The 17,249-nt window shown below is 44.1% G+C and overlaps 1 protein-coding gene and 1 long non-coding RNA gene across 4 annotated transcripts in view, besides 1 other annotated feature; one reads left to right on the forward strand and one right to left on the reverse strand.

Annotated features, from left to right (window-relative positions):
• The window catches only part of LOC100287944 (uncharacterized), a 278,422-nt gene that overhangs the window by 205,892 nt on the left and 55,281 nt on the right, over positions 1-17,249 (reverse strand). The window lies entirely within an intron of this gene.
• The window catches only part of RFX4 (regulatory factor X4), a 179,800-nt gene that overhangs the window by 119,298 nt on the left and 43,253 nt on the right, over positions 1-17,249 (forward strand). For all 3 annotated transcript variants that reach the window (NM_213594.3, NM_001206691.2, NM_032491.6), the window contains 3 exons: positions 7,029-7,129; positions 9,152-9,210; positions 13,099-13,243. In NM_213594.3, coding sequence (NP_998759.1) covers positions 7,029-7,129; positions 9,152-9,210; positions 13,099-13,243 — 305 coding nt within the window. The remainder of the gene's footprint in view (positions 1-7,028; positions 7,130-9,151; positions 9,211-13,098; positions 13,244-17,249) is intronic.
• Positions 8,507-9,706: an enhancer, noted in NCBI's record as "MED14-independent group 3 enhancer chr12:107104586-107105785 (GRCh37/hg19 assembly coordinates)". NCBI's record gives its function as "activates an origin of replication core promoter dependent on BRD2, BRD4, P300/CBP and CDK7 cofactors, and independent of MED14, by STARR-seq in HCT116 cells {active_cell/tissue: HCT116}" and the evidence as "EXISTENCE:reporter gene assay evidence [ECO:0000049][PMID:35650434]".

Raw genomic sequence — 17,249 nt, forward strand, 5'->3', positions numbered from 1 at the left:
GGAAATGGGCATGCTTCTTCCCCTGGGCTCTGAATATGAGTTGAGGCAGTCTATTCGGGAGTTCATTGCATTTGGGTTTTGTTGTTCCTATGATTACCTTTAGTGTAGCACCAGATTTAAATTCTTCTGGGGTACTTTGTGCTTAAGTTGGAGATTTGTTGGGTTGTTTCCCTTAATGTGCCTACTCCTTTACCTGTAGGCCATCCCTATGCACACAGTTGCTTAAGACTTGGTGCTTGTTAGCCTGATTGGAGCTGGAAGTGGGGATGTGGGTTCTCCTTTGTACAGTCCTGTTTCAGTCTTAAGCAAGCCCTGTGCTTTGGATCTCAGAGTTGGGCACTCTCAGTGATCTTGACTCATTGCAGAGACAAAACTCTAGTGATTTGATCCCTTGGTGGTTTCTAGCAGGGTTACAGAGCTTTCTCTTTTCATCTTTCCCCCACCTACAACGGGTCTTCCCTATTCCCTGGGGTCAACAGTGTTTTCTGCTTTTCCCCTAGTCAACTGAGGCTTTTGTTCCATAAGGGAGAAAGGTCTTGGTGGAACTTCATGCTTTTTCCACAGCAACAGCTGTTCCCTTCCTCCAAACATGTACCTCTCAGAAAGGCTTCTTCTGTCCTCCTGTCCTGTCCCCAGTCTTCCTCATGAACACCTGGTGAGGCCTGTGGAGGAGGGCTTGCAAATAGATGTGAACTTCTTTTGCATCTGTCATTCCAAGAGTTCTATACTCTCATGGTAGTTCATATTGGCCCATTAGCAATTTGTTAAAAGTGTTAGCAAAATTTATTTCACCCACTTGTATGTAACGCCCTGTTTTCTTCCCTCTATTGCAAGTGAGCCAGTCCCCAAGTCCTTCTCTCATTGGAGGTGCCTTTCTTTCCATAAATTCCAGGCTACATGATTGTGACCTCAGCTCTCTAATGGTTTAAAGAAAAGTTATAATTTTGTAGATTATCTGGCTTTTTCTTGTTATGGTGGAAGTGATGCTCTTTCCGGCTTTCCACATTGTAGATGGAACGGAAACACACCCAAATAGGTTAACAAAGGTTACCTCCAGAGGGGATTATGGCCACATTTTAGTCTCATCCTTTTCTGCATTATTCAAATGTTCTACATTAAGACCGAATTTCAATTTTTATAATAATATGTATATGTCTATATTATATACGTAGGAGCCATTTAGGGCTTTGTGTTATTAAAATCTTTCTCAGTCACTGATCAAGTGAACGGAGGCTAAATCTCCACTTTTATTTTGTACCACAAAGGTATCTTCTGAGGATTTAGTAAAACACATCTTTATAAGAAAGATTCACATACTTTTAATAATGCTTTATAGGTGTTAAACACACACATACACATGGCATTTGCTGTTTATTACAAAGCAGTTTGTGGGGTACAAATGAAATGTTAACCCCTCCCTTCCTATCTATAATTGACTTATTTTTACAGATGTGGAGGTTAAAGATTAAAAGCTGAAATGAGGGCCAGGCATGGTGGCTCATGCCTGTAATCCCAGCACTTTGGGAGTCCGAGGCAGGTAAATCACTCAAGGCCAGGAGTCTGAGAACAGCCTGGCCAATGTGTCGAAACCCTGTCTCTACGAAAAATACAAAAATTAGCTGGGCGTGGTGGCAGGCACCTGTAATCCCAGCTACTTGGGTGGCTGAGGCACAAGAATCACTTGAATCCAGGAGGCGGAGGTTGCAGTGAGCTGAGATTCCACCACTGCACTCCAGCCTGGGTGACATAGCAAGACACTGTCTCAAAAAAAAAAAAAAAAAAAAAAAAAAGGCTGAAATGACTTGTCTACCTTCACCTGCAAATAAATGAAATAGTCAGGACTCGAATATTCATTCAAGAAAACCACAATATTCATTCATTCATTAAACAAATGTTGATTGATTACTACAATGTGCTAGGGACTATGCTAGTTCCTGGAATACAGCATTACATAAGATAAGCATGCTCCCTGCTCTCATTGAGTTACAGTCTGCCAAAGGAGACTGTTAAAAAAATCACGTGGTTACATAATTACTACTGCAATCTTAGCCTGCAAGGCTTACAAATCAAGTGCCGTTTTCATTAAATCAGGAAGACAAAGTTATTCAAAACATCAGGCTCCATCTGAGAGCTGACTTTTCAGTTTTATATATTCATCCATCCCTCAAACTTTTTTGAGTGCCTTTTCTGTACCAAGCCTTGTGCTTGGCATCATGGAAATGAGAATTGGTACTAGAAGTTCTCACTCATGACCCTGGGCAGGCCCAGGCTGAGGCACATCTCCCCACCCCCTAGCTCAGACCCATCCCTTCCTTTCCAACTCAGAAGAGCATGTTGAAATTCAGGGGAATAAAAAGACACTATGATAGAGATAACCATGGATCATACACTCCCATTTATAAGAAAGGGAAATCATTCTCAAACTGGGGTTTTTCACTTCTTCCAAGTAATCTCAGCACAGTGGTTGTTAATAACAATTGGGTTAGCTATAGTAAGAAAGTGTGTGTGTATGCATGTGTGTGTGTGCATGTGTGTGTGTGCGCGTGTGTGTGTCGTATGGGCAGGGAGGAGAAGTCAAAGAGGCAAAGAAAAGACTGAGGACCAAGCCTGAAATGCCAAAGGAATAGCAACATCAGACAGAAAGGCAGAGGGCACTGGAGATGGGGAGCAGCAAGGCATGTCAAAGTGCACAATGTGGTACTTTCATCAAAGTGGAGTAGGACAGCGGTTGTAAGTCAGATAGACCTGGGCTTTACTCCTGGCTCTGCCACTTGCTGCATCTCTTTGGACAAGTAAAATAACTTTTGTGAGCCTCGATTTCTCACCTCTCTGTTGGGACTAACAACAGTATGTACTTCTAGGGCTGAGGTGAGGATTAATTAAGAAAGTACATGTGAAGTGTTCAGTAGCTTGGCACATTGCACTCATTAAAAGGTAACTGCTGTTATCACCGTTGTTGCAGTTGTAACAGCATCACTGCTGATGGGCATTCAGGGAGCTACGAGTGTGGAGTTAAGATGTAGGAGAAGGGCTGAAGCTGGAGCTGTAGACTTGGCAGCCAGCCGCACAAGAGGGAGGAAAAGTGTGTCCCTAGAAGTGGAGGACAGACCCTGGCATCCCAGCCTAGGGAAGGAAAGAGGTGGAGGGAAAGCGGAGGAAGGAGGTCGAGCTGCAGGTATACACCCACAGAGGACAGTATGTCAAGAAGGCATAGATGCTGCAGGAGATGGAGTCAGTTGGGGCTTAGGGAGGCATCTCTTAGAGCAGGTGATCAGGAGGTGAGCTGCTATCTGGGGCAAGAGCTTCCAGGCAGAAGGGATGGCAAGTGCAAAGGTCCTGGTGAGGTAAGCAAGGGCCTGAAGTGTTGGAGAAACTGAATGGAGGCTAGTGCTGCAGGGATGGAGTAAGCTGAGGGGACAGTGGGAGGAGCTGCAGCCAGAGATAAGGAGGGTAGGGAGGGGGACAGTTTGGACAAGACCCGTTGTCCATCTGGGGATGGAGAGCCATTCATTCTTACACTTCACTTAACAAGCATTTCTTATGTGCCTACTATGTGTCTGGCACTATGCTAGGTACTGAGGATACAGTGATAAGCAAAACAGACATAGTCCCTGCCCTCTGCATGAAGGGTACAGTGAGAAAGATGCACAATGATCAGATAATCACACAAGTTGACGTAACAACAAACTGTCACAACTACATGGTCTTTCAAGAGGAATCATCAGGGGTGCTGACCTGGTCTGGGGGCTTCGGGGAAGGTTTGCCTATAGAAATAATATCTAGTCTGAGATTAGCTAAATAACATGGAGCTAAGCAGGTGAAGAGGGAAGAGATGTTCTTGACTGAAAGGATGCCAGGGGCGAAGGCCCTGAGGGGAGAGGACCAGTTGGAGTTGGAGGCCAGAGGTCCGGAATGCAGAGAAAGGGAGAAGGTGCAAGGTGGGGCCTTGGGGGCTGCAGCAAGAATTGGGGTTTTTATCCTAAGAATAATGTGAAAACATTGAGGAGTTTTAATCGGAATTACAGGTGTTTTGGAAATGTCCCTCTGACAATGTGGAAGATGGAGTGGAGGTGGGAGGGTGAGCAGGGCAGGATGGACTCAGGAAGCTACTGTAAGTCCGGATGAGAGATGACGGCAGCCTGAACTAGGGAGAAAAGGGAGAGAAGTGGCTGTGCTTGGGAAGTAATTTGGAAGCAAAATCTGTAATATGTGGTAAAGGGAAAGAGAGACTGTGTCCAAAATAGCGTATGCAAAACTGGATACTTGCCTAAAGAAATTGTAACTGAATTAATCAAGTCTTTAGAAGCAGACAGGATAGATGAATAGATTACATGACACTACAAGACAGAACTCAACCAAATCAGAGTGTAGGACATTCCAGGGAACAAATACCATGATGTTGCCAATAAATAAATGGCACAAAATAGGGGAAAAAAATATTTAAGAAATAGAACAGGACAATGTTATATCTTTCATGCAATGTGTGGACCTTGTTTGGATCCTGATTCAAACAAACTAAACATCTTTGGGAGAAATAGAAAAGTCTGAATGCAGACTGGGCTGTAGATGATATTAAGGAATTACTATTCATTCAGTTAGATAAACTAATGGCATGGAGGATTTAAATGTTGCATGCATATTGTGTGCGTGTGTGTATACATGTACACATATGTATTTAAACCTTGCCAGTGAGAAATGCACACTAAGTTTTTAGGGGTTAAATGACATCTTGGATTTGTTTGAAACACTTCAGAAAAGATAAAGTGGAATATAATATATTAAACTGGCAAAAATGATGCCAATTTTTGAAGCTGGGTCATGGGTGCTTGGAGGTTTATTATACTACCTGTCTTGGGGTATGTTTGAAATTCTTGAAAATAAAAAAGTGATCAATAAAAATAAAATGATGAAAAATAGAGTTCATACTGAAATAGAGGACACAAGAAAAGAAGCAGGTCCAAGGGGGAAATCACAAGTTCAACTTGGAGACCTCTGGGCCGGAGGTGCAAAAGTTAAGTGCAGACAGTGAATCTGCACAGATGGGAATTTCGCAGATTCAGTGAATCTGTGGGCCTGGATAAACTACCCGGGGAAGGAAGAAAGCTTTGTGAGAAGAGAGCCCAGGACTAGACATGAAGAACTGAGAGGCGTGATGACCAGGCAGAGGGCAGGAGTTTTGTGACTGGGGAGGAGCAGCAGAAGGAGGGATCACAGAAGCCAAGAGAAGTGAGTGTTTCCAAAAGGAGGGCGCAGGTGACAGAATCGAATGCTGCCAAGATGTCAAGCAGATGAGAAACATGACAAGTCCACTGGGTTTAGAATCATGCATGGGGGCTGCTTAGGCTGAGGTCAGGAGCGGGGTGAGGAGGGAATGGGAGGTGAAGGAAATGAGACAAAGAATTGGGCAGCACTTTGAAGAAGTCTGTCTGTGATGTGGGAGAAAGGGCAGTGGCTCAAGGAGATAGAGTGGAGGAAATAAGAGGTTTGTTGTTGTTGTTGTTGTTGTTTTTAAGGTGAGACATTCTTAAATGCATTAAAATAATGAGCAGGACTGGGCATAGTGGCTCACGCCTGTAATCCCAGCGCTTTGGGAGGCCAAGGCGGGTGGATCACTTGAGGTCAGGAGTTCGAGACCAGCCTGGCCAACATGGCGAAAGCCCATCTCTACTAAAAAGACAAAAAATTAGCTGAGCGTGGTGGTGTGTGTCTGTAATCCCAGCTACTCAGGAGGCTGAGGCACGAGAGTCATTTGAACCTGGGAGCCGGAGGTTGCAGTGAGCTGAGATTGTGCCACTGCACTCTAGCCTGGGCAACAGAGCAAGACTGTCTCCTAAAAAAACTGATGAGCAGAATGATGTAGTAGAGAAGAAAAAGCTGAATATACAGGAGAAGGGACCGTCGGTAATGTAGATTTCCTGAGAAAGCAGCAGGGGATGGCAAGAGGAAGGATCGCTCATGGATTCTATCAGGAAGGAGGAAGAGATGAACCAGACAGGTAGCTGAGTGCTGATGACGTCCTTCCTTTGTGTGTGTGTGTGTATGTTTTTTTTTTTTCCCTGAGAAGTAGGAGGTGATTCCACCCGCTGGCAGGGAGGAGAGAGTTGGGGAATTGGAGGCGTAAGGGTCTTGAAGAAGGTTGGAGATAGCCATGAGAAAGGAAAGAGTCAGTGACCAGAGAGAAATGGGGTTGCCCAGTGGGGTGGAGGTTGGTGATTTTGTGTCTGACAGGAGACAGTGGGTGAAAGGCTGAACCAGGGCAGGCTAGGTGGTGTTGGTGGAAGGCAAGGATGGATGGTCAATGGGGAGATGTCCCTGTGTCTGGCACAACCAAGGAGGACTTCGTGGAGGAGAACGAACCTAGGCCTGTGAGCAGATGGCTTTGATAGCAAGGGCCAGAAAATGGTGCCCGGTGTCTTCTCAACTTCAAATTCCCATCTTATTGCAACCTACTGCCCTGCTCAGTGCTTCGCCTCTCCAGTTCCTTCCTGCCTCCTGTTCTAATATGGTCTTTGACTCTTGGAATCTAATATGGTTTCAAGGCCCATATCAGGGTTGTTTGCTAATTTAAAAATATGCTGTTGCTTCCCAGTTCCCACCAAATGGCGAGCAGTTTGGTAAGCTGGGTGGGCAGGCATGGCAGTTATGTTGCAAACAGGGTTCCTGCCTGCCTGGGAGGATCAGACAGGACTGGGCTTTCTAAGGCCCACGGCCCACTGTCTTCACCCCTCACACAAGCTCTTCAAAAGCATGAAGGAGCATGTTTTCCTTGCATCTAAATAGTTCTGGATGCCACCAAGCCTTGCAGTGGCCATCAGTGACCAGCAGAGTACATTCTATTCGTGCCCTTCCCAGACCCACCGGCTCTCCACAGGGCTTGGACTGTTGGCACTGTCTCTGAGGTTGCTATTACAAATGGCACCTATTGGTAGCAGCCAAAACATGATTAGGGGAAATAAAACCCTCTAGGGGCCTGTGGGAGGAGCTAAGCAACATGTGCAGCACTTAAAACTCATCGTTTCTTTTTCTAGCTTAACTCAGGTGATTCGAAAGTTTGCCAAGCAACTGGATGAGTGGCTAAAAGTGGCTCTCCACGACCTCCCAGAAAACTTGCGAAACATCAAGTTCGAATGTAAGTACTGAGTTGAGAGCGGGATGGAAGAGAGAATTACATTTTAGTGCCAAATATTTTACATAAGTTGTTAATAGTAGCAGCAGCTACTGTTTACTGGTTGACTATAAAGCACCAGGTATTATACTAATTACTTTACATATGTAAATATATTTAATCCTCATAAAATGTTTATTATAGGTGGCACATTTCTTCCTTTACAGAAGAGGAATCAACTTAGAGAGGTAGTAAGTAGCAGAGACAGGATTTTCTCCCAGGTCTGTCTGACACCAAAGTTTCTGCTCACCACCACCACCATCCTCCTTATCTCATTTAATCCTCATGCTGCCTCTGCGATGTAGAAAGTAGTATCCCTGTTCTACAGATGAGGCTCTAAGAGGCAAAGAGAGTTCCCCCAAAGCCACGCAGCCACACAGCTGTAAGTAGGGGCCAGGAATCAAACTCAGGTCTCAGATTTCCTTGAAGTTCCTGCCCATAAAATGGTGGTAGCAGGAGAGAGAGAATAGCTTAAGGGCTTCATGCATTCTCTGCCTAATTAGAAAGCCAAATTAATATTTCTCATAAAGGGATTGAGACTGTGAACCTTTTCTTTGCTGAGTGTTGGCACCCATTCCCCAGCATTAGTTTTCTAATTTTCTGTTTCAATCTGCCTGTACTTGCAGGGAGACTCATGTACCGTTCGTTTGCTGCTATTAAACAAAGATGAAATGATTTTCAGCAAAACAAAGTTTTAAAATATACATTTTTTAAAGCCCCATTTGAATACAACGGCTTGCTATTCCTGCCCAAAATAAGTGCCAGTGAACAAAATGAAGGCGATCAAATTACCCTCTCTCCACAGGCAAAGGGAGCCCTTTCAGACGCGCTTTGAGGCTGCCTGCAGTGGCCATCACCTATTGATAAAGCCTGCTTTATTTCATGGCTCTCAGCTCTTTTCTTTTCATGAGCACTAAATTCCACATCACAAAGTTAAAGAAAAAGTAATTAAGGAGAAGGATTAACGATTGATCAGCCTGGAAAATTAGAAGTCCATCTGCCCCCTCCCACCCCCATTCCTCCACTCCACACCTTATTTTTCAAATCAAGCCAGCTCTGAGTACAAATTAGAATAATCCTAGGGAAATTTCTGACTATTACTTGACCAGTTCAGAAATTACCAAGAAGAATGCCCCCGCACCCATTTTAATTATGCCGACAAAACAAACCTGTTCAAAGTCGGCGGCAAGGAGGTTTGTTGGACCTTCCACCTGTGTGTGTCTGGAGGAAGCTGTTCTTCCCAGGGAGCCCAGCCTGGGAGTGTATTTTGAGAATGTGCAAGGGGTGGAAACAAGTCCCACTGCAACCACTCTGTAAGAATGAAGAGCTAGGGCAGGCACATGTCTTGTCTGCGTTGAAATCCACAGATATAAGATCACCCTACTTCAAATTATCAGCCTATTATGTCAGTGTAGGAAACAAGACCTTTTCCTAGCTGCAGTCATCATCAAAACATGCAAACAGGTCATGGAGATCACTTGATAAAAAGGACAGATTATGAATGCAAAGCCAGGGTTCCATCCCAGAAGCACCTCCTAGCCCCACACACCGCTGAGGCTCAATCAAGGTTTACTATTAGACATACTACTTTTTAAAGGGACTTCTTCAAAGCTTCCACTTGATTCCTGCAATTATTTACGGGGAGAAGTGATTGAGCTTGCAATTAGCGAAATGAAAGACAAGTAAATAATTGCTTTTACTCACGGTTGATTGACGCCACCATTTCTCACACCTGCGAGTGTATCGTGTGCATGACTTTGAAATATGTACCCCAAATGTCACCATTAGGAAGTAGTTGTTGAAGCCCACATGGGAGAACAAAGAATCAAGTGCAGGGTTTTGCCAGTGGGTACATAAAATGGGATTGGGCAGTGAGATAAACGTAGGCAAAATAAGCAGGCTACTTTTTGAAATGTGCCCCTGGAAAATCCAAGTTAGAATCATAAAGCATGCAAATATTTCAAACTAATTCTTTTCTCCTTGCAGTGTCGAGAAGGTTCTCCCAAATTCTGAGACGGCAAACATCACTAAATCATCTCTGCCAGGTAGCTGTCCTCCATTATGTGTTTTAATCACTGCTGAGTCATTGCAAATGAGGGGGCAAATCCACAAAAACAACCTCCTGCAGGATCTTTCAGGTTAACAGGGCACTCTCTCTATTATTTTTTAATTTCTACAGATAAGGAATGAAAACATTAGCCAATAACTAGTTTCAACTAATATACAAAATAATTTCTGGTATCAGTTGCCCCTTAACCTTTCAGATATGTTCTAAGTCCACAGTTCTGTGTTTCTCTTAATTATCCAGCCCAAAATGTATGTAGTGGTTGAATCAAATGATTCAAACAGATTAAGAGGATGATTTGTTTGTTGTATCATCTGAGTTCAAAGCCACATAATATATTCAATATTTGCCTAATTTTGTTTAGTTTTTTTCCAGATCTGCATTATTTTTAGCACAAAAGTGACATATGCTTGCTTTCAAAAACATTTAAAAATATAAGTGTAGTAAGTAAAAGTGGAAGATCCCACTCCATGCCCCTATCAACTCTGTAGTTATAGCTTGATGGCATATAACTACATTTCTATTAATTTTGCACTTTAATGAAGGGACTCTAAGTCTGTTAAGGCAACCGATTAACATTACATTAAAATATTAATGACCTTAAAGCAGAGGTGGCAAACCGGTGGCCACAGGCCAAATCTGGCCCTCAGATATGTGGGGTTATTGTTGTTTGGTTTGAATATGTTCAAAACAATTTTTTTCACATGGTCACTAACAGTTGGAACTGGGAGATGACAGCTAAACACCCACATTTTTCTGTAGAAAACCTTCAAGGGCTGACAACTTGCTCCCAGAGTCCCATTTCCCCAGGGCAGCTGTCAGCTGCTGGGCCAAGCTTCTCCACAGCAGCCACCGTCCTCATTCCACCAACTCTCTCACACTTGGCCCACCTCACTCCTGAATGTCACCTGCCTGCCCCCTTCCTGTGTTTCTGTTTGCAGCCTCTCCTTTAAGGTGCTGTTGGTTCTGGGTGGGTTCAAGGTCAAGGTGGTAGGGAGGGGTTTCTAGTTAGAGTGGCCTGAAGGAGGGTCCCAGACCAGGAACCAGAAAGTATAACACAACACCCACATATACCTCACTGCTCCTGTCCTGCCCCTGGCATGGACAGCACAGGGGATGATTTGGAGACCAGAGGGAAACTCATCCAGATTCATGCAGGCTGCTACAGAGGCTACACCTGGGCATTGTTCTGGTGATGGTGCAGAGCCTGACAGATTAATGGGATTCAGGAAAGAAGGTGAATATTGGCCTAACAAAGAAACACTGCCTTATTTCTGAGGATGCATGCCAGCATCTGGTTCTTTTTTCCAGCTTGGAAGAGTGGCTCTTGGGTCATATCAGGGAACTAGACATGGTTTTGGTGCCTCCCTCTGGGGATCAGACAATTTAGAGAGGACTTTGTTCCTTTAATGCACATGTAGATAAAAGCGTCCACACCCATGCCTATAGCCACGTGTTGCACAAGCGTAGGGGCGCACACACACGTTCCCTCTCCACCTTCCGCACAAAAACAGTATGTAATTTAATCAGCAAATGCCCCATTTCCATCTCTACCGGAAAGCTTTCAGACGCATTCCCAGATCAGACAGAGGACTAGGGTTAAGGCTGGGAATGAAACACCAGCTAGTATCCCAGTGAGCTTTCCCAAACACACATACACAGCAAGTCAGACTAAACAACGTCCAACTGAAGACTCACCTCAAATACTTAGACCTAAGATTCACGTCCAGGCTCTTTCAGATACACCAGGTAAGTAAGCACTTGGCATTCCTATCTCAGCCATTCACTTCACAGAATCTTTTGGGTGCCTACTGTGTGCCCAATACTGTGCTTAGTGGTACTTGCCCTCAGCAGGAAAAAAAATTAAAAGTGTTAAATGTTATGAAAGAAACAGAATGGAAATAGAAAATCACAAGGCATTCAGGTCCTATGTAGATAAAGTGGTCAGAGATGGCCTTTCCATGGGTGTGACATTTAAGCTGGAGCGTACATTGTAGTGGGGCTGCTGGGGCAAGGAGGGAGAAGAATGTTCCGGCCAGCAAGAACACCATGTGCAAAGGCCTTGAGGTATCAACACAATCACTGAAAGAGAAGCGATCGGATAACAGTAGCCACTTTTATTGAGTTCCCTGCACTATGCACTCTGTTTTTCAAACACTATCTCAAGGAATCCTCAACAGCAGCCCTTCTTTAAGAGGTAAGCACTAAGGCCCTAAACATGATGGTTAGAGACACTATTAAAAAGCATGTTCTAGGCAGGGTGCGGTGGCTCAGGCCAGCAATCCCAGCACTTTGGGAGACCTAGGTGGGCAGATCACTTGAGATCAGGAGTTCAAGACCAGCCTGGCCAATATGTCGAAACCCTGTCTCTACTAAAAATACAAAAAAATTAGCTGGGTGTGGCAGCATGCACCTATAGTCCCAGCTACTAGGGAGGCTGAGGCAGGAGAATCACTTGAACCCGGGAGGCAGAGGTTACAGTGAGCCAAGATCGCCACTGCATTCTAGCCTGGGCAACAAGAGTGAAACTCCATCTCAAAAAAAAAAAAAAAAAAAAAAAGCATGTTCTAAACACTTGCTTACAGAATTCACTCTTTGGTAAACAGTTCATTTCATTGTAATAAAGTAGCTCACAACGCATCTCTGAAGGAACATGCTCAGGAAAGAAAAAAAAAAGGTAGGTACTATCATATCTCCATTTTATAGATTAGGAGGCTGAGGTTAATCTACTTGCCTGCCCCAAGTCAGCTGCTCAGCAACGAGGCCAGGATTTGAACTAGGTTATGTTTGAATCCAGGACACCTGACCTTTCCATTCAGTTGTTTTCATTATCATTAGAGATTCACCTAACTCATATATTCTACACCTTTGTGACCTTTAAAGAGTTCTACAATTATTTAACTAAGATTTTACTTGTAATTGGATGGTCTGGGTACAACAAGGGTTTGTCAGTATTTACCTTTGCCTAGAAATTTACATGCATTAGGAGACTTGACAATGTCTTCGTGTATTTTAATTTTTTTTATTTTATTAAAAGACATTTTGAAAACATGCAAATAAAGGAAATGATCCTAGATACATATTTTTCTTAGCTTTTCTCAGTATTGTTTCAACTTGATGATATTGTTCCAAGTATTGTTCCAACTTGCAAATTTAAGTTCACTAATAAGGGTTCCATGAAAAAGCCACAGCTTTAAAGAAAAAAAAATACATATATATAATTATTCACACACTATACACATCCCTCCATCCACTAACAAACTACTGAGATGTATGGTATAGTTTCCCTTTTCCTCCAACCTAATTATTCATGTATGTTTTAATCATTATAGCAACATTTTAAAAAAGCAAAAACAGAAAACTAGAGCATAAACTGCTTCAGAATGTATTTATATGAAAAATACACACTTTGAAATTTCTGGGATTAAGTTAGGCCCAGGGGTAGCAAGAACACTTCTAAATCCCAGCCTGCAGCTTCTCAGGTACTGGAGACACAAGGATAATTCAGCACAGAGCTCCCATCCCACAGGCTTACATCAGAAAGCTGACAGATCTCTGGGCTTCATCCCATTGTTCCATGGGGTCAAGACCAAAGGGACTGGAAACAGCAGGGTTTGGTCTGGCCTAGCCCACCCTCGCAGTTTCTTGTAGAGAAAAAGAGATGTGTGGAAAGAACCATAGGAGAAAACAGTGTCTGCGTCTTCTGAGTTACAGAGTCTTCTGGTGCTTTCCTGAAATTGAATTTCCCGGAATTTCAGGGTAGTTTGCAAAATACCATAAGCAGATGCATTAACAAGGCATAAAAGGAAATACAGTGAAAGGGTTTTAACAACCCATGAGCTAACGAGTTGATTGGATTGGATTATAGGCATCTCGAACAGTGATCCACAGTGCAGACATCACGTTCCAAATGCTGGAAGACTGGAGGAACGTGGACCTGAACAGCATCACCAAGCAAACCCTTTACACCATGGAAGACTCTCGCGATGAGCACCGGAAACTCATCACCCAATGTAAGCTGTCCCACCAGGGATTGTTGTCCTGTTTTTATTTTTAAAAGAAAGAAAAAGTGTCTTAGTAAATACCGAAGTGGCATCCCCACCCTGTTCTTCCCAGCATCTCTTCCTCCTTATTGTTCCTTATTGTTCCTTTTAAATGAGTCAGTCCAGAAGGAAGGGCTGATTGACTTGAGAGGACATGTGTCAACACTGCTGGGTAAAGAGTGTTCTGGTGCAATTGGGCAGCATACAGTGTCATGCAAAGGGCCCCACATGTGACCTGAATGCCAGCCCCGGTTCCATGGAGGTGGCATTAAATATGAGAACAAAAGCTTATTGCCTCTCTCAGTGTATGTCAGCCTGGGGTCAGCTGGATATGCTGCCTATTTTTCATTTGAGGGTCACGACTCAGCCCACCTATTGGTAGGTGAACCTTTCAATCACGTTAAATGTCTGAGAAGCAGGTGGATGGTATTTTACTTCTGTGAATATATGTTCATGTCCCGGTGAACAAGGGCTTCCAACATGCAGACTGCAGGTATACTGCTCCAAATATCAACCCCATGTAGGCAGGATGTTTGATCTTGGTACTAAAGCAATATGAGAAGGCCAGAGAACAACATCATTGTTAGCACATCCCTGCTATTCCTCAGATGCCCATCCCAGCTGACTGCCCAGGGCATCCCCCCAGCCCAATAACCCTGGATCCATAGGCGTCTACAGGCTACCTCCATAATTAGAGAACATCAGGTCAGGAAAGGTGTTGAGAGCATGCATTCCCATGTTCTCAATGGGGTGAGGCCCAGGATCCCAATAGTGACACTGCTTGGGGAGCTGCAGAGAGGCTGTCCCACCAAGAAGAGGGGTCTTTCTGAAAGCCCCAAGGCCCTTCAGATTTCTTAGTATATGCCTTCTGCACTGCTGTCTTGAGGGAATTCTATTCAGCTACCCAGTCTAAACTTGAGGTGCCTTTAAACAAAGTTCCCTAAGAGGGTCCTATTAGAGATCTCTTTCCCATTAAGCCCTTTTCAAAAGCAAATGTAACAGCCGAAATGTTTGAACATGTGGACCTTCCCCAGGGCTTCTTTCCTGGCTTAGCCCAAACCTCACTCAGGCTGTTACTTCTTCCTTCACAGCTGCCCCAAGCCCACTTTTCCCCTGGTAAGAATTTTAGAGATCATCACTAAAATAATAATTCAGCTTATTGACTGCCTATTCTAAGCCAGCTCCTGTGTCAAATCCAATACATGCACGGTCCCATTTAATCTCCACATCAACCCCATGAGGAAGACACTCTTATCACCCCCACTTTACAGATGAGAAAACTCAGGCTTAGAGAGTTGGTGAACCTAACTCAAGGTCATGCAGCCACTAAGCAATAGAGCTGAACCCAAGTCTGGTCTCACGTCTAGTCCCAGCTTCATCACCAGGCCTTAGTGCTGCTCATATTGTATTCATGTGCACAGGAGACAAAAAAAAAAAAAAAAAAAAAAGGAAATATGGGTGAGTTTTAGAGGTTCCAGGATCTTTCCAAGTGCTTACAATCATCCTTCCTCTTCTGCTTTTTCCTGTCCCCTGATGGAAAGTCAACAGAAAGCATGGCCCTGCACACCCTAATAGCACTGGGGGTACCTTTGATCACTGTGCCCCTAGGAACTCCCAATGGGCCAGGCACAGAGCAGGTGTCCAGCAAGATTCATGGAATACCAAAGAGATGAGTGGAAACCCAGAGTTAACCTAGTTCTTAGCTCTGCAAATCTTCCTAGCAGTGTTAGACTCAGTTCTCTTCCCGCCTCAGCTCCTTTCATGAGGGACGAAAATGTGAACCAGACTCATAAGGAAAAATACAATCAGTATTGCTTGCTTAAAGGACCAGGCTCTGAGCCTTTGCTGGAGCACCATGGAGGTCACTGCTGCCTCTCTCAAGAAAGAACCTTCTGTGGCTTTCTCTTCAAGTTCCTTTAGGTCCAGGGCAGAATGGTGCCCTTTAAAGCTGTGATTGCATTCTTCTTCTGGGGAAGTAAATGCTGTGGTTCAGTTCAACCCAGCTAGTCCTTACTGAATGCCTGTCCTAAGTCAGGTACTGTATTAGATGCTGGCCAAAGGGCAGTGAATAAAATGGACACATCCCTTCCCAACATGGAGCTTACAGTTAATGGTAAATAAGACCTCAAACATGTATTTACAGATGTGTTGCATCTTACCAAAGAGAACAATGTCATGTAATACAGTGCTGTGAAGGGGGAATTGAGAGAGGGTACCAAGCCTCAAGGCAGTCCAGCACATGTGCGTCAACCCTGTACCTCCTAACCAGACAGCTGGGAAGTCCCTGACACACAGGGAGTTGGACCAAAGGTCAGCTTGAGCAGGGCTGGGACAACTGTGTGCAGTGCTCTTCTTTCCTCACAGCCAGCTGACAAATCTGCAAACTCTTGCTTAGGGGGTTACCATCACCTCTGTGATATAGATCTCAGCCGGCAATGCTCAGCTTACCTTAGATTTTAAAAGTGCACATTAGTACTTAAGCAAGCTGATTAGAATGAGTTATAATTGTAACTGCCCAAGGTCTGCTGGGCATCCCAGACCCATGTCCAAGTTCTGTTGGCTGGGATCCCTGGGGCTGGGATGCCCAACAGACCTTGGTTCAAACCTTGCTCTTACACAGCTCTTACACAGCATGGGGCTGGATGCCCAAAAGACCTTGATTCAAACCTTGGCTCCAGTACACTGTGACCTTGGTTTCCATTTCTGTAAAATGGGACTAAGGTGAAGGGATTAAATGAGACTATCTGTGCCACATGCTTGGTACACAGTCTAGTGTTAGCATAGTGAAGTGGTTAGGAGGCAAGCACTTGAGTCAGGATGTGTTTGAATCTTGTCTCCGCAATTCACTAGCTGTGAAAGAACAACCTTTGGAAAGTTACTCATCTTTGTTTGTCTCTTTCTTCACTTGTAAAATGGAGGATAATAATCGTACCAACCTCCATGGGTTGTTCATCCATTCAGTCAACAAACATTTGAGCATTCTAGTGTTATGACCCTCTGGTCTCAGAATCTTACTTCTTGTAGCAAGCGTCAACTAAGTAAAATAGAGCAAAGTGTCCAGTCCTTTAAAATGAGAGAACAAAAACTGCTCAAATGAAAATGAAAGAAACGTATGGATCTTGAATTGTGGTTTGATTTATTGATCTCTGCATACAGAAACACAAAAATGTGATGAAAAGAGATGTTTCAAACTAGAGATCACCAGAGCCATGTTTCTATTTTCTAGAGCACTTCATTGATTAAAAAGCACTTCCAGCCGGGCGTGGTGGTGCACGCCTGTAATCCCAGCACTTTGGGAGGCCAAGGCGGGCGGATCACGAGGTCAGGAGATTGAGACCATCCTGGCTAACACAGTGAAACCCCGTCTGTACTAAAGATACAAAAAAAAAAAAAAAAAATTAGCCGGGTGTGGTGGCGGGCACCTGTAGTCCCAGCTACTCGGGAGGCTGAGGCAGGAGAATAGCGTGAACCTGGGAGGTGGAGCTTGCAGTGAGCCGAGATTGCGCCACTGCACTCCAGCCTGGGCAACAAGGCGAGACTCCATCTCAAAAACAAAAAACAAAAAACAAAAAAAAGCACTTCCAGATTCAGTTATCTGACTTAAAGTGAAGACAGGTTGTAAAGTGGTAGGATTATCTCTCTAATGAGGAAACTGAGGGGCAGAGAGACTGGTTCACTTACTCAACAAGTATCTATTAAGCACCTACTACATGCCACACAGAGAGGCTGCTTGCCTGATACAGTTGTGGTCCAGAAACATTTGAATTATCACATGTGCCCTACCCTGGGCAGAGAGCAAGAGAGCAGCAATGCCTCACCCATTAATTCAAGCAAGAATTTGTTGGGTAACAACTATGTCACAGATAATGCACCAGCTAATGAAGATATCAGACAAAGAACTAGCAGGGAGACACACATGCCCACCCAACTATGCCACAGTGCCATTAGTCATATAATAAAGGTAGAAAACCGATAA

Source organism: Homo sapiens, chromosome 12 (assembly GCF_000001405.40).
Source record: "Homo sapiens chromosome 12, GRCh38.p14 Primary Assembly".
Classification (NCBI taxonomy): domain Eukaryota; kingdom Metazoa; phylum Chordata; class Mammalia; order Primates; family Hominidae; genus Homo; species Homo sapiens.